This window comes from Homo sapiens, chromosome 20 (assembly GCF_000001405.40).
Source record: "Homo sapiens chromosome 20, GRCh38.p14 Primary Assembly".
Taxonomy (NCBI): Eukaryota; Metazoa; Chordata; class Mammalia; order Primates; family Hominidae; genus Homo; species Homo sapiens.
In genome coordinates, this window is record NC_000020.11 from 42820448 (window position 1) to 42843399 (window position 22952).

The following is a 22952-nucleotide window of genomic DNA, read 5'->3' on the forward strand; positions in this document are numbered from 1 at the left end:
TGCCCACATCAGAATGCTAGGAAGATATCAAATTGATATCCTAACATCACAATTAAAATACCTAGAGAGGCAAGAGCAAACTAATCCAAAAGCTAGCAGAAGACAACAAATAACTAAGATCAGAGAAGAATTGAAGGAGATAGAGACATAAAAAAATCTCCAAATAATCAACAATGCAGAAGATGGTTTTTCGAAAAAATTAACAAAATATATCACTAGTTAGACTAATAAAGAAGAGGAGAAAGAAGAATCAAATAAACACAATAAAAAATGATAAAGGGGATATTACCACTGATCCCACAGAAATACAAACTGCCATCAGAGAATACTATAAAAACCTCACGTAAATAAACTAGAAAATCTAGAAGAAATTGATAAATTCCTGGACGCATACACTCAACCAAGACTAAACCAGGAAAAAGTCAAAACCCTGAATGGACCAATAACAAGTTCTGAAATTGAGGCAGTAATTAATGGGCTACCAACCAAAAAAGGCTCAGGAGTAGACAGATTCACAGCTGAACTCTACCTGAAATGCAAACAGGAGCTGGTACCATTCCTTCTGAAACTATTCCAAACAATTGAAAAGGAGGGACTCCTCCCTAACTCATTTTATGAAGCCAACATCATCCTGATACCAAAACCAGGAAGACACAACAAAAAAGGAAAACTTCAGGCCAATATCCCTGATAAACATCAATGTGAAAATCCTCAGTAAAATACTGACAAACCAAATCCAGCAGCACATCAAAAAACATATCCACCATGATCAAGTTGGCTTCATCCCTGAGATGCAAGGCTGGTTCAACATACACAAATCAATAAATGTAATCCATCACATAAACAGAACCAAAGACAAAAACCACATGATTATCTCAATAGGTACAGAAAAGGCCTTTGATAAAATTCAACATCCCTTCTTGTTAAAAACTCTCAATAACCTTGGTAGTGATGGAACATATCTCAAAATGATAAGAGCTATTTATGACAAACCCACAGCCAATATCTTATTGAACGGGCAAAAGCTGGAAGCATTCCCTTTGAAAACTGGTACAGACAAGGATGCCTCCTCTCACCACTCCTATTCAACACAGTATTGGAAGTTCTGGCCAGGGTTACCAGGCAAGAGGAAGAAATAAAGGGTATTAAAATAGGAAGACAGGAAGTCAAGTTGTCTCTGTTTGCAGACAACATGATTTTATGTATAGAAAACCCCACCATCTCAGCCACAAAACTCCTTGAACTGATAAGCAACTTCAGCAAAGTCTCGGGATACAAAAGCAATGTGCAAATATCACAAGCATTCCTTTACACTGACAATAGGCAAGCAGAGAGCCAAATCATGAATGAACTCCCATTCACAATTGCTACAAAGATAATAAAACACCTAGGAATACAGCTAACAAGGGATGTGAAAGATCTCTTCAAGGAGAACTACAAACCACTTCTCAATGAAATAAGAGGACACAAACAAATGGAAAAACATTCCATCCTCATGGATAGGAAGAATCAATACTGTGAAAATGGCCATAATGCCCAAAGTAATTTACAGATTCAACACTGCTCCCATCAAACTACCATTGACATTACTCACAGAATTAGAAAAAATAGTTTTAAATTTCATATGGAATCAAAGAAGACCCCAAGACAATCCTAAGCAAACAAAACAAAGCTGGAGGCATCAAACTACTTGACTTTAAACTATACTACAAGGATACAGCAACCAAAACAGCATGGTACCTGTACCAAAACAGATATACAGACCAATGGAACAGAATAGAGACCTCAGAAATAACACCACACATCTACAACCATCTGATCTTCAACAAACCTGACAAAAACAAGCAATGGGGAAAGGACATCCTATTAAGTAAATGGTGCTGGGATAACTGCCTAGCCAAATGCAAAAACAGAAAGTGGACCACTTCCTTATACCTTATAGAAAAATTATCTCAAGATAGATTAAAGACTTAAATGTAAAACCCAAAACCATAAAAATCTCAGAAGAAAACCTAGGCAATACCATTCAGGACATAGGCATGGGCAAAGACTTCATGACAAAAATGCCAAAAGCAATTGCAACAAAGGCCAAAATTGACCAATGAGATCTAACTAAACTAAAGAGCTCCTGCACAGCAAAAGAAACTAGCATCAGAGTGAACAGGCAACCTACAGAATGGGAGAAAATTTTTGCAATCTACCCATCTGACAAAAATCTAATATCCACAAGTTACAAGGAACTTAAACATATTTACAAGAAAAAAACAACCCATCAAAAAGTGGCAAAGGATATGAACAGACACTTCTCAAACGAAGACATTTACGCAGCCAACAAACATGAAAAAAAGCTCAACATCACTGATCATCAAAGAAATGCAAATCAAAACCATAATGAGATACCATCTCATGCCAGTCAGAATGGTGATTATTAAAAAGTCAGAAAACAATAGATGCTAGTGAGACTGTGGAGAAATGTAAATGATTTTACACTGTTGGTAGGAATGTAACAACCATTGTTGAAAACAGTATGGCAATTCCTCAAGGATCTAGAGCCAGAAATACCATTTGACCCAGCAATCCCATTACTGGGTATATACCCAGAGGAACGCAAATCATTCTACTATAAAGACACATGCACATGTATGTTTAGTGCAGCACTATTTACAATAGCAAAGACATGGAGCCAACCCAAATCCCCATCAATGATAGACCGGATAAAGAAAATGTGGTAAATATATACCATGGAATACTATGCAGCCATAAAAAGGAATGAGATCATGTGCTTTGCAGGGACATGGATGAAGCTGGAAGCCAGCATCCTCAGCAAACTAACAGAGGAACAGAAAACCAAACACCGCATGTTCTCACTTATAAGTGGGAGTTGAACACTGAGAATACATGGACACACAGAGGGGAATAACACACACCAGGGCCTGTTGAGGGGTGGCAGGGTGAGGGGAGGGAACTTAGAGGATGGGTCAATAGGCACAGCAAACCACCATGGCACACATATACTCATGTAACAAACCTGCATATTGTGCACATGTATCCCATTTCTTCCTTTTTTTAGAATAAACAAAATGTAAAAATGAAATTAAAAAAAAAGTTTATTACTCACATCCTCCTCAAAAAAAGTCAGTATTTTAGATGTAGAAGAATACTCTATTAGAATAACAGCGCCCATCTGAAGCCAAAGACAACATCATATATAAGAGTCAAACACTGAAGCCACTTCTATTAAATTCAGGAATGAAACAAGGTTATACTTACATTATTCAATATTGATTTGCAAACTCTAAGCAATAAAATTAAAAGGGAAGAAAGAGAAGGAAGAAGTTAGAAAGAAAGAAATTTTTTATAATAATAGAAAAGCAAGAGATAAAATTACCATTATTTTCCTGATGATATGATTGAATACCTAAAAAAAACACAAGCATCAACTCAAAAACTTGCAGTACTGATTAAAAAAAAAAGTTCAGTAAGATGAGTGGTTAAAAAACAAATAGATAAAACACAACAGCTTTCTTATATAGCATCAATAACCACTTGGAAGCTCTGACAAGAAATAAATTAAATCCCATGGTAGCAAATAACTAGGAATCAACTTAAACAGAGATATGAGAGGTCCAGATGAAGAAACCCACAAAACTTTACTGAGGGAAATAAAAGAATCCTTGAAAATGTGAAGATACAGGTAACGATTCTGAGTCTGAAGACTCAATAAAGTCAAGATGGAAATTATCACAAAAATAATTTGAGCAATATTTTCAATTCGAATAAAACCCAAGAGGAGTTTTCTGGAACTTGGCAAAATAATTCTAAAGATCATTTGAAAGGAGACACAAAGAGTCTCTCTCTCTTTTGTTTTGTTTTGTTTTTTTTCATAAAGTGTAACTAGAAGAGAATGTCCTATTAAGAATTAAATACCTAGTAAAGCCACAATAATTAAAAGAGTGTTGTACTGACATAAAAACAGACAGGCTAATGACAAGAAGAAGAAAGAACATCAATAGACCATATATGAGAATGCATTTGATGAGAACAGCCCCACTTTTAATGAGGGGAGAAAGGCTAAACTATTAATTCATGGTTCTGGAATACTGATTAACTATAGTATTTGAAAAAACAATGGACTTAGATTCTATTCACATGGTGAATGAAAAATTAATTAACTAGCTAATTAATTAATTCATAACTATAAAGAGTTGAACATGAAGAAGAATAAAAAATCAAATCATTAAAATCTAGAAAAATACAAGAGAATATTTATCTCATTTGGGAATAGGGAAATAACTTTTGAAGTTCAAAAGCAAAAGAAGATATAAAGTTTTCTATAATGGACAACATAAAAATTAAAACTATTCATCAGAGACATCAAAAATTCTGAAAGCAAATAAAAACTGAAAAAATGTAAGTACCAGGTAAAGAATAATATCCTTTCTCCATAAAAAAGCTTATAATATACATATATGGAAAATATAAAAATGTTTATGAACAGATAATTCACAGAGGACAAAACATAAAATATATTTGGCTATATAATAAGGAAAAACCAGGTCAATAGGATGCAGTGTCATTTCTTATCAAATAAGCTAAGATTTTGAAACAGTGATAATTCCTAATATTAGCAAATAGTAAATGAGTAATTACCTGATGCTTGGACTACCAGTTGTCTCAATGATTTTCTGAGGAGCAATTTGATAATACGTATCACATTATCAAGTTGTGAATCATATAACACAATATGAATCACATATCACATTAAAATGCCCACACCACCAATTGAATAATCCCAATCTAGAAGACATAATGAGAAATCATAACAAATATTTAGGTGAAAAATCTCACGACAGTATTACTGTACTGAAAGACTGAAAGCAATTTCAACACCCAAGTGTAAGGACGTAATTAAATAAGTAATAATACGGCAATATGATATAATTTAATTGATGTAAAAGTCCAAGCATTCAAGAATATTTAATGACATAAAAATGTTAATGATAGAATTCTAAATGAGAAAAAAAAGCCATGTAACAGGACTTATAGCTTGCACCTAATTTTGTAAAATATATATATACATTTAGCAAACGTATGAGCATATGCATACACATGTGTGTATATAAATAGTAATCTACATATAGAAAAACGACTTGAGAAGAGTTCAACTTTCAATTAAACATCACAAAGTAAACACATGCATTAACCTCCATTTTCTTCCAAATGCACCAAAATGACAGTGTAGGAATTAAAAAGACATAAACAAACCCATATATACCAAGAGAATGGGGAAAAAAGTGACAGCAATTGAGAGATGCAAACATTTTGGAGGAAGAAAAATGGTTGGACAAATGGTAACTGATTAAGCAGAGCAGTGAAAACTGAAGCCCGTATGTCCATCAGGTAAGAAAGCAGAATACAACCAATTTAACCCATGGAGTACCAAAAGGACCCAGAAATGGGGCAACCAGATTATTCTAACGGCAGGAACACCTAGGGCTGAAAACAAAATTACCTGAAAATCTGTATAAGAAATGTTAAGACAACCACCCACAAAACCCCCTTTGACATCTGCCATGCGACCAGATGCCAGTCCCTTCTCAATACCTACATAAGACTGAAAATGTAGTTACTACAACATATCAAGCAGAGAGGATATAGCTTCAAGGATTCTGTGGCCAGCTGAGAGGGGGTAAGTCACCAGGCAAAACCACGGGTGATCCACTGAAACCAACATACTGAGTGAAGACAGCATCCCCCAATTAGCTCTGAGTACCCACAGCCAGGTTACACATACTTCCCATGCCTTCATGAGTGCAGAAGGCTTATCTTTGGAAAAATTTACCAGATGGAGAGGAAAAGGCCTTAGCCGTGAACATTCCAATGTTCATCCATAAAAATCCAGTTTACTGTCTTATTTCCATATAGTCAAACCTGTCAGTGAACAAAGCCCCTCCCATGCAATACATAGACTCAAAATTTTAGTGCCAATCTCTTAAATATGAATGGATAGCCAATGATGATGACTATTTGAGTTAAATCTCTAACATGAACAGAAGAGACCAAAACAAACAGGGAGGGGAAAAGTGCAGGTAGAAAACAAAAGATAAGTGCTTCTCAGCCTTTTGGCTAAGATCAAATGTAGTATCTCTTCTTATCAGTTTCATATGCAGAGCAGTGACACGATAAAGCAACCACACAAACAAGCTGGCATGATAACCAACTAACAACAAAATGGCAAGATCAAATTCACACATATCAGTATTAACTTTGAATGTAAATGGGCTAAATGTTCCACTTAAAAGGCACAGGGTAGCAAGCTGGATAAAAAAGCAAGACCAAATGGTATGCAATCTTCAAGAGACCCATCTCACATGCAATGAATGGCACACAAAAGCTCAAAATAAAGGGATGAGGAAAATCTACCAAGCAAATAGAAATTAGAAAAAGCAGGGGTTGCAACCCTCATTTCAGACAACACAGACTTTATCCAGCCAAAGATCAAAAAAGACAAGGAAGGCCATTACATAATTGTAAAGGATTCAATTCAAAAAGAAGACCTAACCTAACCCTAAATATATACACACCCAACACAGGAGCACCTAGATTCATGAACTAAGTTCTTAGAGACCTACAAGGAGATTTCAAGTTCCACACAATAATAGTGGGAGACTCCCCACTGAGAGTATCAGACAGATCATTGAGGTAGAAAATTAACAAAATTATCTAGGACTTTAACTCAACATTGGACCAGATGGATCTGATAGACCTCTACAGAACTCTCTACCCCAAAACAACAGAATATACATTCTTCTCATCACCACATGGCACATACTTTAAAAGTGAACACAATATGACATAAAACAATCCTCAGAAAATGCAAAAGAACCACAATCATTCCAAACACACTCTTAGATCACAGTGCAATAAAAATAGAAGTCAACACTAAAAACATTGCTCAAAACCATGCAATTTTATGAAAATTAAACAATATGCCCCTGAATAAGTTTTGGATAAAAAAAAGAAATTAAGGCAGACATCAAGAAGTTGTTTGAAACTAATGAGAACAAAGATACAACATACCAGAATCTCTGGGATACAGCTAAGGCAGTGTTAAGAGGGAAATCTATAGCACTATAAATGCCCTTATGTGGTTTGGCTGTGTCCCCACCCAAATCTCATTGTGAATTGTAGTTCTCATAATCCCCACATGTCATGGGAGGGACCTGGTGGGAGGTAATTAAATCATGGTGGTGGTTACCTATATGCTGCCATTCTCATAATAGTGTGTGAGTTCTCAAGAGATCTGATGGTTTTAAAGGAGATGGCCCCCTTTTTCTTGGCACTTCTCCTTAATGTCACCATTTGAAAAAGGACATGTTTGCTTCCCCTTCCGCCATTATTATAAGTTTCCTGAGGCATCCCCAGCCATGCTGAACGGTGAGTCAACTAAACATCTTTGCTTTATAAATTACCCAGTCTCTTGTATGTCCTTATCAGCAGTGTGAGAATGGACTAATACAGTAATTTGATACCAGTAGAGTAGGGTGCTGCTATAAGGATGTCCAAAAATGTGGAAGCTACTTTGGAACTGGGTAACAGGCAGAGATTGGAACAGTTTGGAGGATTTAGAAGATGACAGGAAAATCTGGGAAAGTGCAGAATATCCTAGAGACTTGTTGAATTACTTTGACCAGAATGCTGATAGTCATGTGAACAATGAAGTCCAGGTTGAGATGGTCTCAGATGGAGATGAGGAACTTGTTGGGAAGTGGAGCAAACGTGACTTTTGTTATGCTTTAGCAAAGAGACTGGTGGCATTTTGCCCCTGCCCTAGAGATGTATGGAACTTTGAAACTGAGAGAGATAATTTAGGGTATCCGGTAGAAAAAATTTCTAAGTGGCAAAGCATTCAAGAGGAAGCAGAAAATAAAAATTTCTAAAATTTGCAGCTGACAATGCAATAGAAAAGAAAAACCCATTTTCTGGGGAGAAATCCAAGCCTGCTGCAGAAATTTGCATTAGTAATGAGGAGCCGAATGTTAATCACCAAGACAAGGGGGAAAATGTCTCCAGGGCACGTGAAAGACCTTCACAGTAGCCCCTCCCCCAGAGGACTAGGAAGAAAAATGGCTTTGTGGGCCAGGCCCAGGGACCCCTGCTGTGGGCAGCCTAGGAACTTCGTGTCCTGAATCCCAGCCACTCCAGTCATGGCTAAAATGGGCCAAGGTACAGCTCAGGCTATGGCTTAAGAGGGTGCAAGTCCTGTGCCCTAGCAGCTTCCATGTGGTGTTGAGCCTGAGGGTGCACATAAGTTAAGAATTGAGGCTTGGAAACCTCCACCTAGATTTCAAAGGATATATGGAAACACCTGGATGTCCAGGTAGAAGTTTGCTGCAGTAGTGGAGCCCTCATAGAGAACCTCTGCTAGGACAGTGCAGAAGGGAAATGTGGGGTTAGAGTCTCCATACAGAATCTCCACTGGGGCACTACCTAGTGGAGCTGTGAGAAGAGGGCCACAGTCCTCCAGACCCCAGAATGTTAGATCCACTGACAGCTTGCACCATGTGCCTGGAAAAATCACAGGCACTCCACACAAGCCCATGAAAGCATCCAGAAGGGGGGCTATACCATGCAAAGCCATAGGGACCAAGCTGCCCAAGGCCATGGGCACCCATCTCTTCCATCAGCATGACCTGTATGTGAGACACGGAGTCAAAGTAGATTATTTTGGAGCTTTAAGATTTAATTACTGCCTGATTCTAGATTTGCATGGGGCCTGTAGCCCCTTTGTTTTGGCCAACATCTCCCATTTGGAATGGGTGTATTTACCCAATGCCCGTACCTCCACTGTATCTGGGAAGTAACTAATTTACTTTTGATTTTACAGGCTCATAGGTGGAAGGGACTCACCTCATCTCAGACAAAACTCTGGACTTGGACTATTGAGTTAATGCTGGAATGAGATAAGACTTTGGGGGACTGTTAGAAGGCCATGATTGGCCAGGCGCAGTGGCTCACACCAGCAATCCCAGCACTTTGAGAGGCCAAGGTGGGTGGATCACCTGAGGTCAGGAGTTCAAAACCAGCCTGACCAACATGGTGAAACCCCATCTCTACTAAAAATACAAAATTAGCTGGTTGTGGGTGGCACATGCCTGTAATCAGAGCTGAACTGAAGGAAATGGAGGCATGAAAAACATTCAAAAGATCAATGAATCCAGGAGTTGGTTTTTTGAAAAAGTTAATAAAATAGACTAATAAATAAACAAGAAGAGAGAGTAGATCCAAATAAATCCAATTAGAAATGACAGAGGGGATATTACCATTGACTCCACAGAAATAAAAATTATCCTTAGAAACTACCATGAACACCTCTATGCCCACAAACTAGAAAACCTAGAAGAGCTGAACACATTTGTGGACATATACACCTTCCAAAGACTGAACCAGGAAGAAGTTTATTCCCGAACAGACCAATAATGAGCTCTGAAATTGAATTGGTAATAAATAGTCTACCAATCAAAACAAGCCCAGGACCAGAAGGATTCACAGCTGAATACTACCAGATGTACAATGAAGATCTGGTACCCTTCCTACCGAAACTATTCCAAAAAATTGAGGAGGATAGACTCCTCCCCAACTCATTCCATGAGGCCAACATCATCCTGATACAAAAACCTGGCAGAGACACAACAAAAAAAGAAACTTCAGGCCAATATCCTTGAAGAACATTAATGCAAAAATTCTCAGCAAAATACTTGCAAACCAAATCCAGCAAAACATCACAAACTAATCTACCATGATCAAGTTGGCTTCATTGCAAGGATGCAAGTGGTTGGTTCAACATGTGCAAATCAATAAACGTGATTCATCACACAAACAGAACTAAAGACAAAAGCCACATGATTATCTCTATAGATGCAGACGAGGCTTTCAATAAAATTCAATATCGCTTCATGTTAAAAACTTTCAATACACTACGTATTCAAAGAACATATCTCAAAATAGTAAGAGCCATCTATGACAAACACACAGCCAACATCATATGGAATGGGGAAAAGCTGGAAGCATTCCCATTAAAACCAGTACACAACAGGGATGCTCTCTCTCACCACTCCTATTCAACATAGCATTGGAAGCCCTGGCCAAAGCAATAAGCCAAGAGGAAGAAATAAAGGGCATCCAAATAGTAAGATAGGAAGTCAAACTCCCCCTGTTTGCATACAACATGATTTTATATCTATATAAATCAGGATACAAAATCAGTGTATGAAAATCACTAGCATTTCTATACACCAACAACAGCCAAGCTGAGTGCCAAATCAGAAGCACAATACCATTCACAATTGCCACAAAAAGAATAAAATACCTAGGAATACAGCTAACCAGGGAGGTGAAAGATCTCTACAATGAGAATTATGAAACACTGCTCGAATAAATCAGAGATGAAACAAACAAATGGAAAAACACTCCATGCTCATGATAGGAAGAATTAAATCATTAAAATGGCCACACTGCCCAAAGCAACCTACAGAATCTACCAAACTACCAGTGATGTTCTTCACAGAACTAGAAAAATCTATTTTAATATTCATATGGAACCAAAAGGGCCTGAATAGCGAAGGCAATTCTAAGCAAAAACAACAAAGCTGGAGGTATCATATTAGCTGCCTTCAAACCATACTACAGGGCTACAGTAAATAAAACAGCACGGTATAGGTACCAAAACAGATCTATAGACCAATGAAACGTAATAGAAAGCCCAGAAGTAAGGCCCCACACCTACAACCATCTGATTTTGACAAGGCTGATAAAAACAAGCAATGGGGAAAGGACTCCCTGTTCAATAAATGGTACTGGGATAACTGGCTAGCCATATATAGAAGATTGAAACTGGACCATTTCCTTATACCCTATACAAAAATCAACTCAAGATGAATTAAAGACTTAAATGTAAAGCCCCAAACTATAAAAACCCTAGAAGACAACCTAGGCATAGGGACATTCTGTACATAGGAACAGCAAAGATTTCATGACAAAGATACCAAAAGTGATTGCAATAAAAGCAAAAATGGAGAAATGGGATCTAATTAAACTTAACAGCTTCTGCACAGCAAAATAAACTATCAACAGAGTAAACAGACAACCTACATAATGCGAGAAAATGTTGGCAAACTATGCATCTGACAACAGTATAATATCCAGCATCTATAAGGAACTTAAACACATTTATGAGAGAAAAACAATCCCATTAGAAAGTGGGCAAAGGACATGAACAGACACTTCAAAAGAAGACATACATGCATCCAACAAGCACATGAAGAAAAACTCATTATCACTGATCATTAGAGAAATGATGCAAATAAAAACCACAATGAGATACCATCTCACACCAGTAAGAATGGCTATTATTAAAAGTCAAAAAAATAACAGATGCTGGCAAGGTTGCAGAGAAAAGGGAATGCTTGCACACCGTCGGTGAGAGTGTAAATTAGTTCAGCCATTTTGGAAAACAATGTGGTGATTCCTCAAAGAGCTAAAAAGAGAACTATCATTCGACCCAGCAGTCCCATTACTGGGTATACACCCAAAGGAATATAAATCATTCTACCATAAAGACACATGCACATGAATGTTCATGGCAGCACTATTCACAATAGCAAAGACATGAAATCAACCTAAGTGCCCTAGATTGGATGAAGAAAATGTGGTACATATACACCATGGAATACAATGTAGCCATAAAAATGAATGAGATCATGTCTTGCAGGAATATGGATGGAGCTGTATTCTAAGCAAACTAATGCAGAAACAGAAAACCAAACACCACATGTTCTCACTTATAAGTGGGAGCTAAATGATGAGAACACATGGACACAAAGAGGGGAACAACAGGCCCTGTGGCTTACTTGAGGGTGGAGAGGGAGAGGAGGGAGGGGATCAGAAAAAATTAACTATTGGGTACTGAGCTTAGGACCTGGGTAACAAAATAATCAAACCCCACAACACGAATCTTCCTATATAACAAACCTGCACACATACTCCTGAAACTAAAAGCTAAAAAAAAAGACATTTTGAAGAGCATTTTTTAATGTAGAGAGAAGAGATTTTATCCAAGAAAAAGATGCTGTAAAAAAGGATCATTCCAAGAACCAAGATAACTATCAGATGTTAAAACTATACAAGTATAAATAAAAATTGCAATAGATGGCTTAGAAGATGAAGTTGAGGATATTGTCCAGAATACAGAAAGAAAAAAAAAAAAAGAAGAAGAAGAAGGAAAAGCAAAGAAAAAAAAACAAGAAAATTGAGTTTTGGCTTATGTAATCCAAAAGCCAACTAATAGGATTTGTTAAAAAAAAAAAAAAAAAAAAGGCCAGGCTTGGTGCCTCACACATGTAATCTCAGTACTTCGGGAGACAGAGGTGGGAGGATTGTTTGAGCCGAGGAGTTTGAGATCAGCCTGGGCAATAAAAAACTGTGTCTCTACAAAAATATTAAAAATGTAGCCATGTGTATGTAGTCCCAGCTACTCAGGAGGCTGAGGTGGGAGGATTGCTTGAACACAGGAGGCAGAGGTTGCAGTCAGCCTTGGCTGCACCACTACACTCCAACCTGGACAACACAGTGAGACCCCGTGCCAAAGAAAGAAAAAAATATACGAGAGAAAACTGAGAATATGTTATCAAAGAAATGATTTAAGAATAATTTCTAGAACTGATGATAACAAAGTTGTAAATTGAAATAGTAACCAAATAGTCATGCAGTATAACTTAAAAAAAAACCTAAAGTCATTATGAAACCTCAAAACACTGAAATTAAAAGAAAAAAAAAAAAACTTGGCCAAGCATGAAGGTTCATGCTTGTAAATGCCAACACTATGAGAGGCTGAGACAAGAGGATCGCCTGAGCCCAAGAATTTGAGAGCAGCCTGGATAACATAGCGAGACCCCCCATCTCTGAAAAAATAAATAAATAAATAAAATAAATAAAGTGGGGCATGTGCCTATAGTCTCAGCTACTCAGAAGGCTGAGGCAGGAGGATGGATTGATTGAGCCCAGGAGCTCAAGGATGCAGTGAGCTATGATCACATCTCTGCACTCCACACTAGATGACAAAGCGAGGCCCCATCTCATTTAAGGAAAAAAAGACTAAACATTTACAAGATAAAAGCAGACATATGTCTCATATAAAAGATAAGGAATCAGAATGGCACTGGACTTCTCAATATTGTGAAGGGAAATCAGAAGACAACACAGCCAACATCTGTGAAATTCTGAGGGATTGACAAAGTTAGAAAGATAATTCAGTGGAGAAAGGACAGGCTTTTCAACAAATAGTACCAGAACAATTAGACATTCACACGGAGCGGGGGGAAGAAAGGAGGACCCTTGACCTATACCTCTCACTATATGTAAAAGTTTACTCAAAATGGAACATAAACCTAAATGTAAAATATAAAATCAAAAACAGGAAAAAATCTTTGTGGCCTTGGACTAGGCTAAAAATTGTTAAATAAGACACGTCTTAGTGTCATCATCCATAAAAGTAAAAAACTGATGTTAGACTTCATCGAAATTAAAATATTTTGCTCTGTAAAAGATACTGGTAAGAGAATAAAAAGACAAGCCATAGGCTGGGAAAAAAAAATTAAAAATCCCAGATCTGACAAAATGCTTATATTTGGATATATAAAGAACTCTCAAAGCTTAATAACAGCTCAATTTTTTAAACGGGCAAAAAATTTGAGCAAACACATTACTAAAGAAGATGTACAGAAAGCAAATAAGAATATGAAAAGATGTTCAACATCATTACTCATTAGGGGAATCCAAATTAAAATCACAATAAGACACAACTGCACATTTTGTTAGGGGAGCTAAAATTTAAAACAAAGGGGAAAAAGGAAAAAAAATGCTAACTGCAGGTGAGGACGTGGAACAAATTGAATCCTCACCTATTGCTCATGAGTATGCAAAATGGTACAACCATTTTGAAAAACAGATTGACAGTTCCTTATGAAGTCAAATATACATTTATCGTACAGCTCAGAAATCTTAGTATTTACTGAAAAGAAATAAAAACTTGCATTGAGACAAAAACCGGTATGCTGACATTTACAGTGGATTTATTCATAATCACCAAAAATCCGAAACAATGCAAATGTTATTCAGGTTGTGGGATATGATGGGGTTTCTCTTCCAATAATCTGATCAATCTTTTATTCTTTAATTCACCGTACCCCACCACCCTTTTTCCTTTTCCCAGATGTTAATTTCTTTGGAGGGCTGAATCTCTTCTGTATGTACTAGAGTAATGGATATATGATTCTACACATTTGTCTAAACCCATAAAACTATATATGTGTACCAAAAGGAGGGAAAGTTACTCCATGTCAATTAAAAAAATAATTCTGAGAAAAAATTATAGCCTACCAGAACTTTATATCCAGCCAAACTGTCAATCAAATGTAAGGATAACATAAAATGATTATCTGCTAGGCAAGATATTTAAATTATTTTTTACCTTCAAATATAACTTTTCTCAGGAAGCTCCTATATACCATGCTCTAATAGAATGAGAAAGTAAACCCCACACAAAAAAAGAACTCATGGGACCTAGAAAAAGGAGAGAGGTAGCAGGAAATTCCAAAACAAGTGATGTGTCTGGGATCTAAAGAGAACACAGGCGATATTAAACTAGGAAGCTGGAGGCTTCTAGGCATGTAAATTCAAGGAGAGAAAACAATGAAACCAATAGATATTCTGAAGAATTCAGACACAAGGAGATGAGATTAACACTTTTGAGGGGGAGTTGGAAACACTTTAAGGAAAACAAAATAATAAAGCAAGGCAGGTATTATCTCTATGACTGGGGAAATGAGGAAAGAGATGTAATCACAATATGAGGGGACTTCAAAAGGAAACTTGGGAAGGTTTGTAAGTGAGGACGTACAAGGAAGCTTCCAGAGAACTCAGTAGATAGATGATATCCAAATGAAATAGAAAAGGACTAGCAGAATGCCTATTTTATTTGGAAATGTAGTATTAAACGCAGGGGGAAACAGCAGCAAAAGGAGCTGAGTCTGGTTGCCTCAGGGGGGCAGAGAATGAGAGGGGAAGGGCTACTGCTGTTCACTCAAGGCTTTGTAGCATACATTACTTTTAAAACTGTTCTAGACAAGAACTTTTTTTCATCAAAAAATAAGAAAAAAGAGAATGAATGATACCAAATTATTAACAACGATTATTTTTGGTTATTACTGGGTTTATAGATAATTTTCATTTTATTCTTTACAATTTCCTATATTTCCTCAATTTTCTATCTTAATAATCAACAGGGAGCAGAATGAGAGAGATACAGACACAGAGAGTTATTAAGAGCAGAAAATACTTCTCCCTTCTCTTTAATCAGGCAAAGCATAATAGATATCCATGTCTTATTATGAAGACAGTCTGCATTTAGAAAGTGGGGATTTCAGGGCACAGAGTAAAGGTTTCTACGAGATAGCACGTTGGGAAGGAGACTAGCTCAGTGCCTGGCATGAAGGAGGAGTTTGGATGATGCAAACCCCTCTGTTTGCCCCTGGTCTAATTTTTCCATTGGTAAGATGAGGGCTTGGGGTCAGCCACCTCTCCCTAGCTCTAGAATTTGACTCCAAGAATCTGTATCCACCTCAGATGCCTGTAATCAAGGAACCTGCCAGGAACAGGTTACCCTAGCCTCCTGCTGCCCAGGCCTAGGTGCCAGGAGCCCCTCCTCTCCCCGCCTCCCACATAGGGCCAGGCATGTTCCCACCCCAGACCCTCCATCCACTGCAATACATTCCTGGGAGTTTCTTTGTTCTCTCAACTGCCCACCTCCCAAGAGACAAGTCCCTGAAACCAGGTATAAATGGCTGCTGAGACTTCAGTGCCACCACCTGGTCTGTGTACTTCCAGCTGTTGAATAAATGGCAACCCTTGGACATTTCTATTTCCTGCAAAGCCCTCCCAGATTAGAAGCTGATCCTCATGACTCCTTACAAGCTTGGCAATGCGGAACCAAGCAGAGTATTTGAATATGAAAAGAAAGGCCAGGTCTGTCTTGAAATTCAAGTCTCTGAACTCTAAGACCTGGACGCAGGCCAACACCTGGTTTCTAGAGCTGCAAGTCAGAAATGGCAACAAAACACAAGGGGATGAGCCGAGCTTTGGAACCAAACAGCCCTGGGTTTGAATCCTTAATCGGCCACTGAATTCCTGGCACTGGCTGAGACACGTTTTGGCAGATTTCTCATCCATAAAACTGGAACAACAAGGCCTACTTTCTATCTAAAATAATTAGCAAATAATTAGATGACAATAAGTCGTGTTTACTGGGCACTTGCTATGTAACGGCACTGTGCTAAGTATTTTATGTTCACTGTTCATTTAATCCTCAGAAATTAACTATTACGTGCTACCATCCCCATATCAAAAATAAGGAAATTGAGGTACAGAAAGATTAATGTGTCCAGTGTGGCTCAGCAAGGAAGCACCAGAGTTGGGATTTGAACCCCAGCAGTCTGAGGCCAGACTTAACTGCCGCACCGCATGGTTTCCCTAATGACAGGCACTTCTTGAGGGTGGACAGTAACCAGCCCTGTCTCCTTCTTCCTGCCCATATTATAGATGGGAGAACAAGGCCCAAAGCAGGGACGTGGGCGTCCCACAGTCATACAGGAGCTGGGGGTGGGCCCTGGATTCAGCTCCAGTTCTTTCCTCATGCCAGCAGCCACTGGAGCCCACAGAGGCCCATCCGGAGGACCCTTGGATCCCCACTGTGAGTGGGCCCAGCACCTTGCTGCCTCAGACAACCCACAACCCCTGACACTCACAGGTCCCCTCACCTTGTTCTGATGTGGGCATGGTCTTCTGCTGGGAAAGCAGGTATCTGGCCTCCGCCACCCCTCAGCACACTTACCAGGCTATCATCCTATTGTGACACCTGCCCTAGTCCACACCTCTTGAGAGCTCATCTTTTCCTCCACCATGGTGACCAAGAGCACCACCCATGCCCTGCCATCAAAGTGGAGGGAAGGACCAATCTCGGGCCCCTGGATCCAGCCAGGTCTGCTGCAGTCCAGTCTGCTCAAACAGCTCATGCCTACCAAGGCAAGTGATTTGTTTCCTTGGTAGCATTTAACACTCACTACATTAACAGTATGTATTTATTCAGGGACCATATCTGAGTTATCCATTGCTGGGTCCTCAGAGCCTATTCCAGTGCTTAGCAACGAAGAGTCCAGTTGCTACACGCAGAACAGAGTACAGAGGCCAAAGGGAAACAAAAGTCCAGTGAAGAGTGACTGCCAGGAAAGAGATGATGGTATCCTGGTGGCAAAGGAGAAAATAGAATAATTTCAGCAGACATTTAGGAGGAAAACGGGATAGGATTGGGGACTGAGGGAAAGAGGGGTCAAAGGTGGCTCTTGGTGTTCACATTTGCACCCTAGACAGATATCCATCTGTCCTTTCGGAGAAGTAAGAGGGAAAAAGGAACACTTTTTCCAAACTGGGTGGCAGCTTTGGAGTACCAGGCCCTCACGTAAACTGTTTTGTTTGTTTGTTTGTTGAGACGGAGTTTCGCTCTTGTTGAACAGGTTGGAGTGCAGTAGCATGATCTTGGCTCACTGCAACTTCTGCCTCCTGGGTTCAAGCGATTCTCCTGCCTCAGCCTCCCGAGTAGCTGGGATTACAAGTGCCCACCACCACGCCCTGCTGTTTTTGTATTTTTAGTAGAGACAGGGTTTCGCCATGTTGGCCAGGCTTGTCTTGAACTCATGTGATCCATCCGCCTCAGCCTCCCAAAGTGTTGGGATTACAGATGTGAGTCACTGCGCTCAGCCCAAAAACTGTTGATAAAATGAAACCACAGATAAAAAGCCAGTCTGTTGCCTAAGGACAAACCATATTATGAGCCCTTGCCCCTCTGGGTACCCTTTTAATCAGAGGCTCCAGACTGAGCTAGCCAGGCTGGAACGGGGATCTGGGAAGCTGGAGATTTCTTTCCTGAGATCAATGAAACACTGGACATTGGAGGACCAGTTGGGGATCCCTGTATTGTATGGGCTTCTGACCAAAGGGTCTACACCATGACCTTGCTCTGTGATCCCACCATTATCTTGGGATATCTGGGCTGTAACCAATGGGCCGCTGGACAGAGGAGAGGATCAGAAGGGTTGGGATATAAAAACAAATCACATCCCTTCCCTGATTTTAAACCTGATATGGGTGCCCACTTCTCTGTGGAGGGTATCTCCCTCATGGCAGGGAATCCAAATTCCAATACAAATTGGTGACAATCTCCCTTTCCCATTTTTTCACCAATGTCTAGTGTAGTGGCCATCATTGGCTGCCCGCCCAGCCGTGTCCCCCGCTCATCCTTCCTAGGGGAACCTCTGGGGAGTCCTTGCCCCCTTTATATAGGAACCTGTGCTTGGGCTTGGGATGATGAGACTTGAGGCTCCTACACCTTTGGTCCCCAGGGTTGGTCCAGGAAACAGGACTCATGTATCTCCTATCACTGCTTGCCATTGGCTACTTTAAGTATCTATCTCCCCTGCTGGACTATGACCTCCTAGAGGCCAGGGCTCAATATGATCCCTTTCTGGGCTCTGCAGGAGGGATCTGTTGGGCAGAAGAAGGGCACAGGTGCTGGAGGTAGGCTCTTCTTGCATACCTCGTAGGGACTTCCATCTCACACGGCCTCCCTGGTTGCCCATCAGCCTTTCCCACCTTGGGCAGGATTCTGATCCATGGCTTTCTTTAGTCTCAGAGCAAAAAGCTCTCTCAATGTCACTCTGAAGCTCGGGCACACTTACTCTGTGTTCACTCTGTTTTTTTTTTTTTTTTAAAGCGCCCTTCACATGATCTAGCTCTCAGGCAAATTGGAAAAAAAGAAAAGAAAAAGCCTTAATTAAAGGAAAGTAAGGCACAGTTTTCATGCATAATAAGAAATGGCTTTTTGAGCCAGCATGATAAAATCCTACCACTCTGGGGTTGCCCTCCAGAAAGTGAGGATTAAGAAAGCCAGGGTTTTATTTAAGGGCAGTTGGAGAAATAATGGCAGCAAACTCTTAGAAAGCACTCACTGTGTGCCAGATATTCCTACATGCTTTACAAATAAGGGAAAGCAGCGATTCCCTTGAATCCTGCTGGCCAAAAGCTGAGAAGAGTGAAGAGAAAAACATGGGTGGAGAAAAATGACCAAGGACATCCCAAGGTATGGCATAGTCTGGAGGGTCGTGAAAGCCAACTGGTGCTGTTACTACTGGGAACTGGATCCCTTGTTTAAGATCTTTAATAAGTGGTACTCTAGGTTGTGGTTTGCAAATTTGTTTTTAAATCACCTGAAGAGCTTTAAAAATTCTAATAGCTGGGGTTTACCCGCTGAGATCCTAATGAAGTTAGACTGGGGTGTAGCCAGGACAATGAGACTTTTTAGACAAACCCCAGGAGATCCCAACGCCAGTGGAGGTTGTATACCCTGGCCTAATGTTGTTTACTAGTATATTGGTTTCCTCAGCTGCCGTAACACAGTACCACAAACTGGGTGACTTAATGCAGAAATTTATTGTTTCATACTATTGGGGGCCAGAAACCTGAAAGCATGGTGTTGGCAGGACCATGTTCCCTCTGAAACCTATAGGGAAGAATCTTTCCTTGCCTCCTCCTAACTTCTCGTGGTTTGCTGGTAATCCCTGGCATTACTTGGTTTACAGCTGCGTGACCCCCATCTCTGCCTGCGTTGTCACGTTTTTCTCCATGTGTGTCTGTGTCATCTCAGGGTCACCTTCTTGCAAAGATACTGATTGGGGCCAACCTACTCCAGTATGACTTAACTAATTACATCTGCAATGACGGTATTTCCAAATAAGGTCACAATCTGAGGTATTGGTATTTAAGGCTTCAACACATCTTTTTTGTTTTTTTATTTTTATTTTCATTTTTTTGGTGTGTGACACTGAGTCTCACTCTGTTGTCCAGGCTGGAGTGCAATGGTGCGATCTTGGCTCACTGCAACCTCCGCCTCCTGGGTTCAAGCAATTCTCCTGCGTCAGCCTCCCTAGTAGCTGGGATTACAGGCATGCACCACCAAGCTCAGCTAATTTTTGTAATTTTAGTAGAGACGGGGTTTCACCATGTTGGCCAGGCTGGTCTCAAACTCTTGACCTCAAGTGATCTGCCCATCTTGGCCTCCCAAAGTGCTGGGATTACAGGCACGAGCCACCATGTCCAGCCATCACATCTTTTTTAGAGAGACACAATTCAACTCACAACAATGGGTATAAATGCCTGTTCCTGCAACCCCTCAGCTTTGACCTGTGGACTCTGCCTGCCCATTGCCTGAATGCCATACTCACAGCATGAGTTGCTACTTGGAGCCCAGCATCCCCACATATTTGGGAGATCCCTAGTGGCCTTCCTGCTCAAGAAGCCTCTACCTTTCTCCTTATTGTTCATGGAGTCCTTCGTGCTACTTGACTCAAAGCCTTTTGCCTTGGCTCACTTGGCCTTTGGCTTCTGAGTCTTCAACACCAGGCTCCTTGGCAAGGCTACTGACAGCCTGCTAAATTTCCCAAGCACCCTTGCCATGAGAGGTATGCTACACCCTGTCCCCTCAAAACCCCACTGCTAGCTGGGGCTCAGCCACAAAGCAGATATCCCACCCCATCCAGCTGCAGGTTTGGTACTTGCCTCCTCTTAGGTAGCATCAGAGCTCCGACATTCCACTCACCAGGAACAAGGCCCACTAATGAGTCAAAGCTCCTTTAAAATCTGCATTTGTCTGGACCTTGCTGTGCTATTACACAGCTGAACATCCTTGGGCAAATCACTTAACCTCTCTGAAGCTCTGTTTCCCCACCTTTAAAACACAGATGATAATCCATGCCCTCATTTCTGATCACAACACTCAGGACAAACACAGCTCAGAATTCAGAACAGTTTGGGTTTTTAGACAAGTAATATGGGCCCATAAAACAGTCCTAGTGAGATCTGGGGCAACATTCTGGGCTCAGACACACAAATATTTCCACAGTGAGGCATATCAAAATTCATACCATGGGAGACAAAGGCTACAGATAGCTTCATAACAGTTTGCGTCAGGTTTGACAGCCAAATGAATTTAGTGTTAAATACACACACACACACACACACACACACACACACACACACACACACACACATAATCTCTCTCTCCATTTTCATAACTTCTTGAATTTCTGGACTATATGTACGAGAATGTCAACCTAAGTCTAGTTCACAAGTTTGTGGTAACTATTACAAGAGATATATCACACATGTGGGTATCTTGCAGAATAGCTAGTTTGAAGTAATTAAGTATTTGTGAATCTGGAAAAGGAAAAAAGCTTCAATCTAGCTGAAGCCAAAGTTTGCCACTCTCCTTAAAACACTGCAATTTGGCCAGAAGGCCTGTGACTTGTGCATTATAAGTGGTAAAATGTCCCCAGCTTTGCCCTGCTCCCCACTTCATCATCAGTCCCAAACTGAGGTCTCAGCATGTGACAGGAACCACGTTCATTCTAATCATCACAGTAATTTTTAAAAAAAATTCCAGCTCCATTCCACATCTCTTAAGTTTTGGCATAAATCATTGTTACAAGAAGACCTTCTCTTAGAAAGATCTTTAGAATCAGAAAACTCCTGTATTCTCCAACAGCAGCCTGGTTTCATGGAATGCAGCCAGACTCAGGTTCACAGGTCTTCCTCCTCAGGTTGGAAGTGGTTTTTATGGTGGCTGCACTGCGAACATCCCCAAAGCTCCAGGAGACATGCAAAACGAAGAAGAGTGCAGTGTCTACAAATCAGCAGCCAGTGCTACAAGGGAGCTGAGTAGCTACACTCTGTCAGGCCAGGGTTGGAAAATCCATTGTCTTCTTCACTTCAGACTGCTATAACAAAATGCCTTAGACTGTTTATTTATTTTTATTTTTATTATGTTTTTTGAGACAGTCTTGCTCTGTCACTCAGGCTATAGAGCATTGGCACAATCTCAGCTCACTGCAACCTCTGCCCCCCAGATTCAAGCAATTCTCCTGCCTCCGCCCCCCGAGTAGCTGGGATTACAGAAGTGCACCACCATGCCCAACAAATTTTTGTATTTTTAGTAGAGATGGGGTTTCACCATGTTGGCTAGTATGGTCTTGAACTCCTGACCTCAAGTAATCTGCCCACTTTCGCCTCTAAAAGTGCTGGTATTACAGGCATGAGCCACTGAGCCTGGCCTAAATTTATTGATCATAGTTCTTGAGGCTGAAAAGTCAAAGATCAAGGTGGTGGCAGGTTCCATGTCTGATGAAGGCCTCTTCTTCATGCATGGCAGCTTCTATGTGCCCTCACGTAGCAGCAGGAACAGAGGGGGTCCCTCAAGCCTCTTTTATAAGGACACAAATCCCATTCACAAGGGCTCCACCCTCATGACTTAATCACCTCCTAAAAGCCCCGCTTCTTAAAATTATCACATTGGGGATTCGGTGGCAACATACGAATTTGGAAGAGGGAGATACGAACACCTAGACCACAGAACCCATCTAGTCAGGCCTAGTATGACCTTGGATAAGCTAATTCACTTCCGGGATCCCTAAATCTTCACCTGCTAAATAAGCATGTGGATTATATTCCCTTCCAAGGAACTTCTGGCTTAAAAACTCCACAATTAAGATTTCTGCCTGTCTGAGATAAATGTTGGTTCCCTAAAGAGATTTGGAAAATAAACTATAGCTATTAATAGCTTCCGATAGACAATTTCAGGCAGGAGGTAAAGAAGCAATTACACAGTGCACATCTCATGCCACACCCGGCCTTCGTATGCTGATGGATTCAGGTACAGTGTGGTTCTGCAGTTCCCTTGGGGAATTTTGTTTCTCAAAGCCAGGGACTGACTGCTCCCACCACGGCCTCTGCTG

At 40.3% G+C, this 22952-nt stretch overlaps 1 protein-coding gene and 1 pseudogene across 11 annotated transcripts in view; one reads left to right on the forward strand and one right to left on the reverse strand.

Annotated features, from left to right (window-relative positions):
* The window catches only part of PTPRT (protein tyrosine phosphatase receptor type T), a 1158017-nt gene that overhangs the window by 788558 nt on the left and 346507 nt on the right, over positions 1-22952 (reverse strand). The gene's annotated exons all lie outside the window — the stretch shown is intronic.
* LOC124904981 (uncharacterized) lies at positions 6107-6255 on the forward strand (annotated as a pseudogene).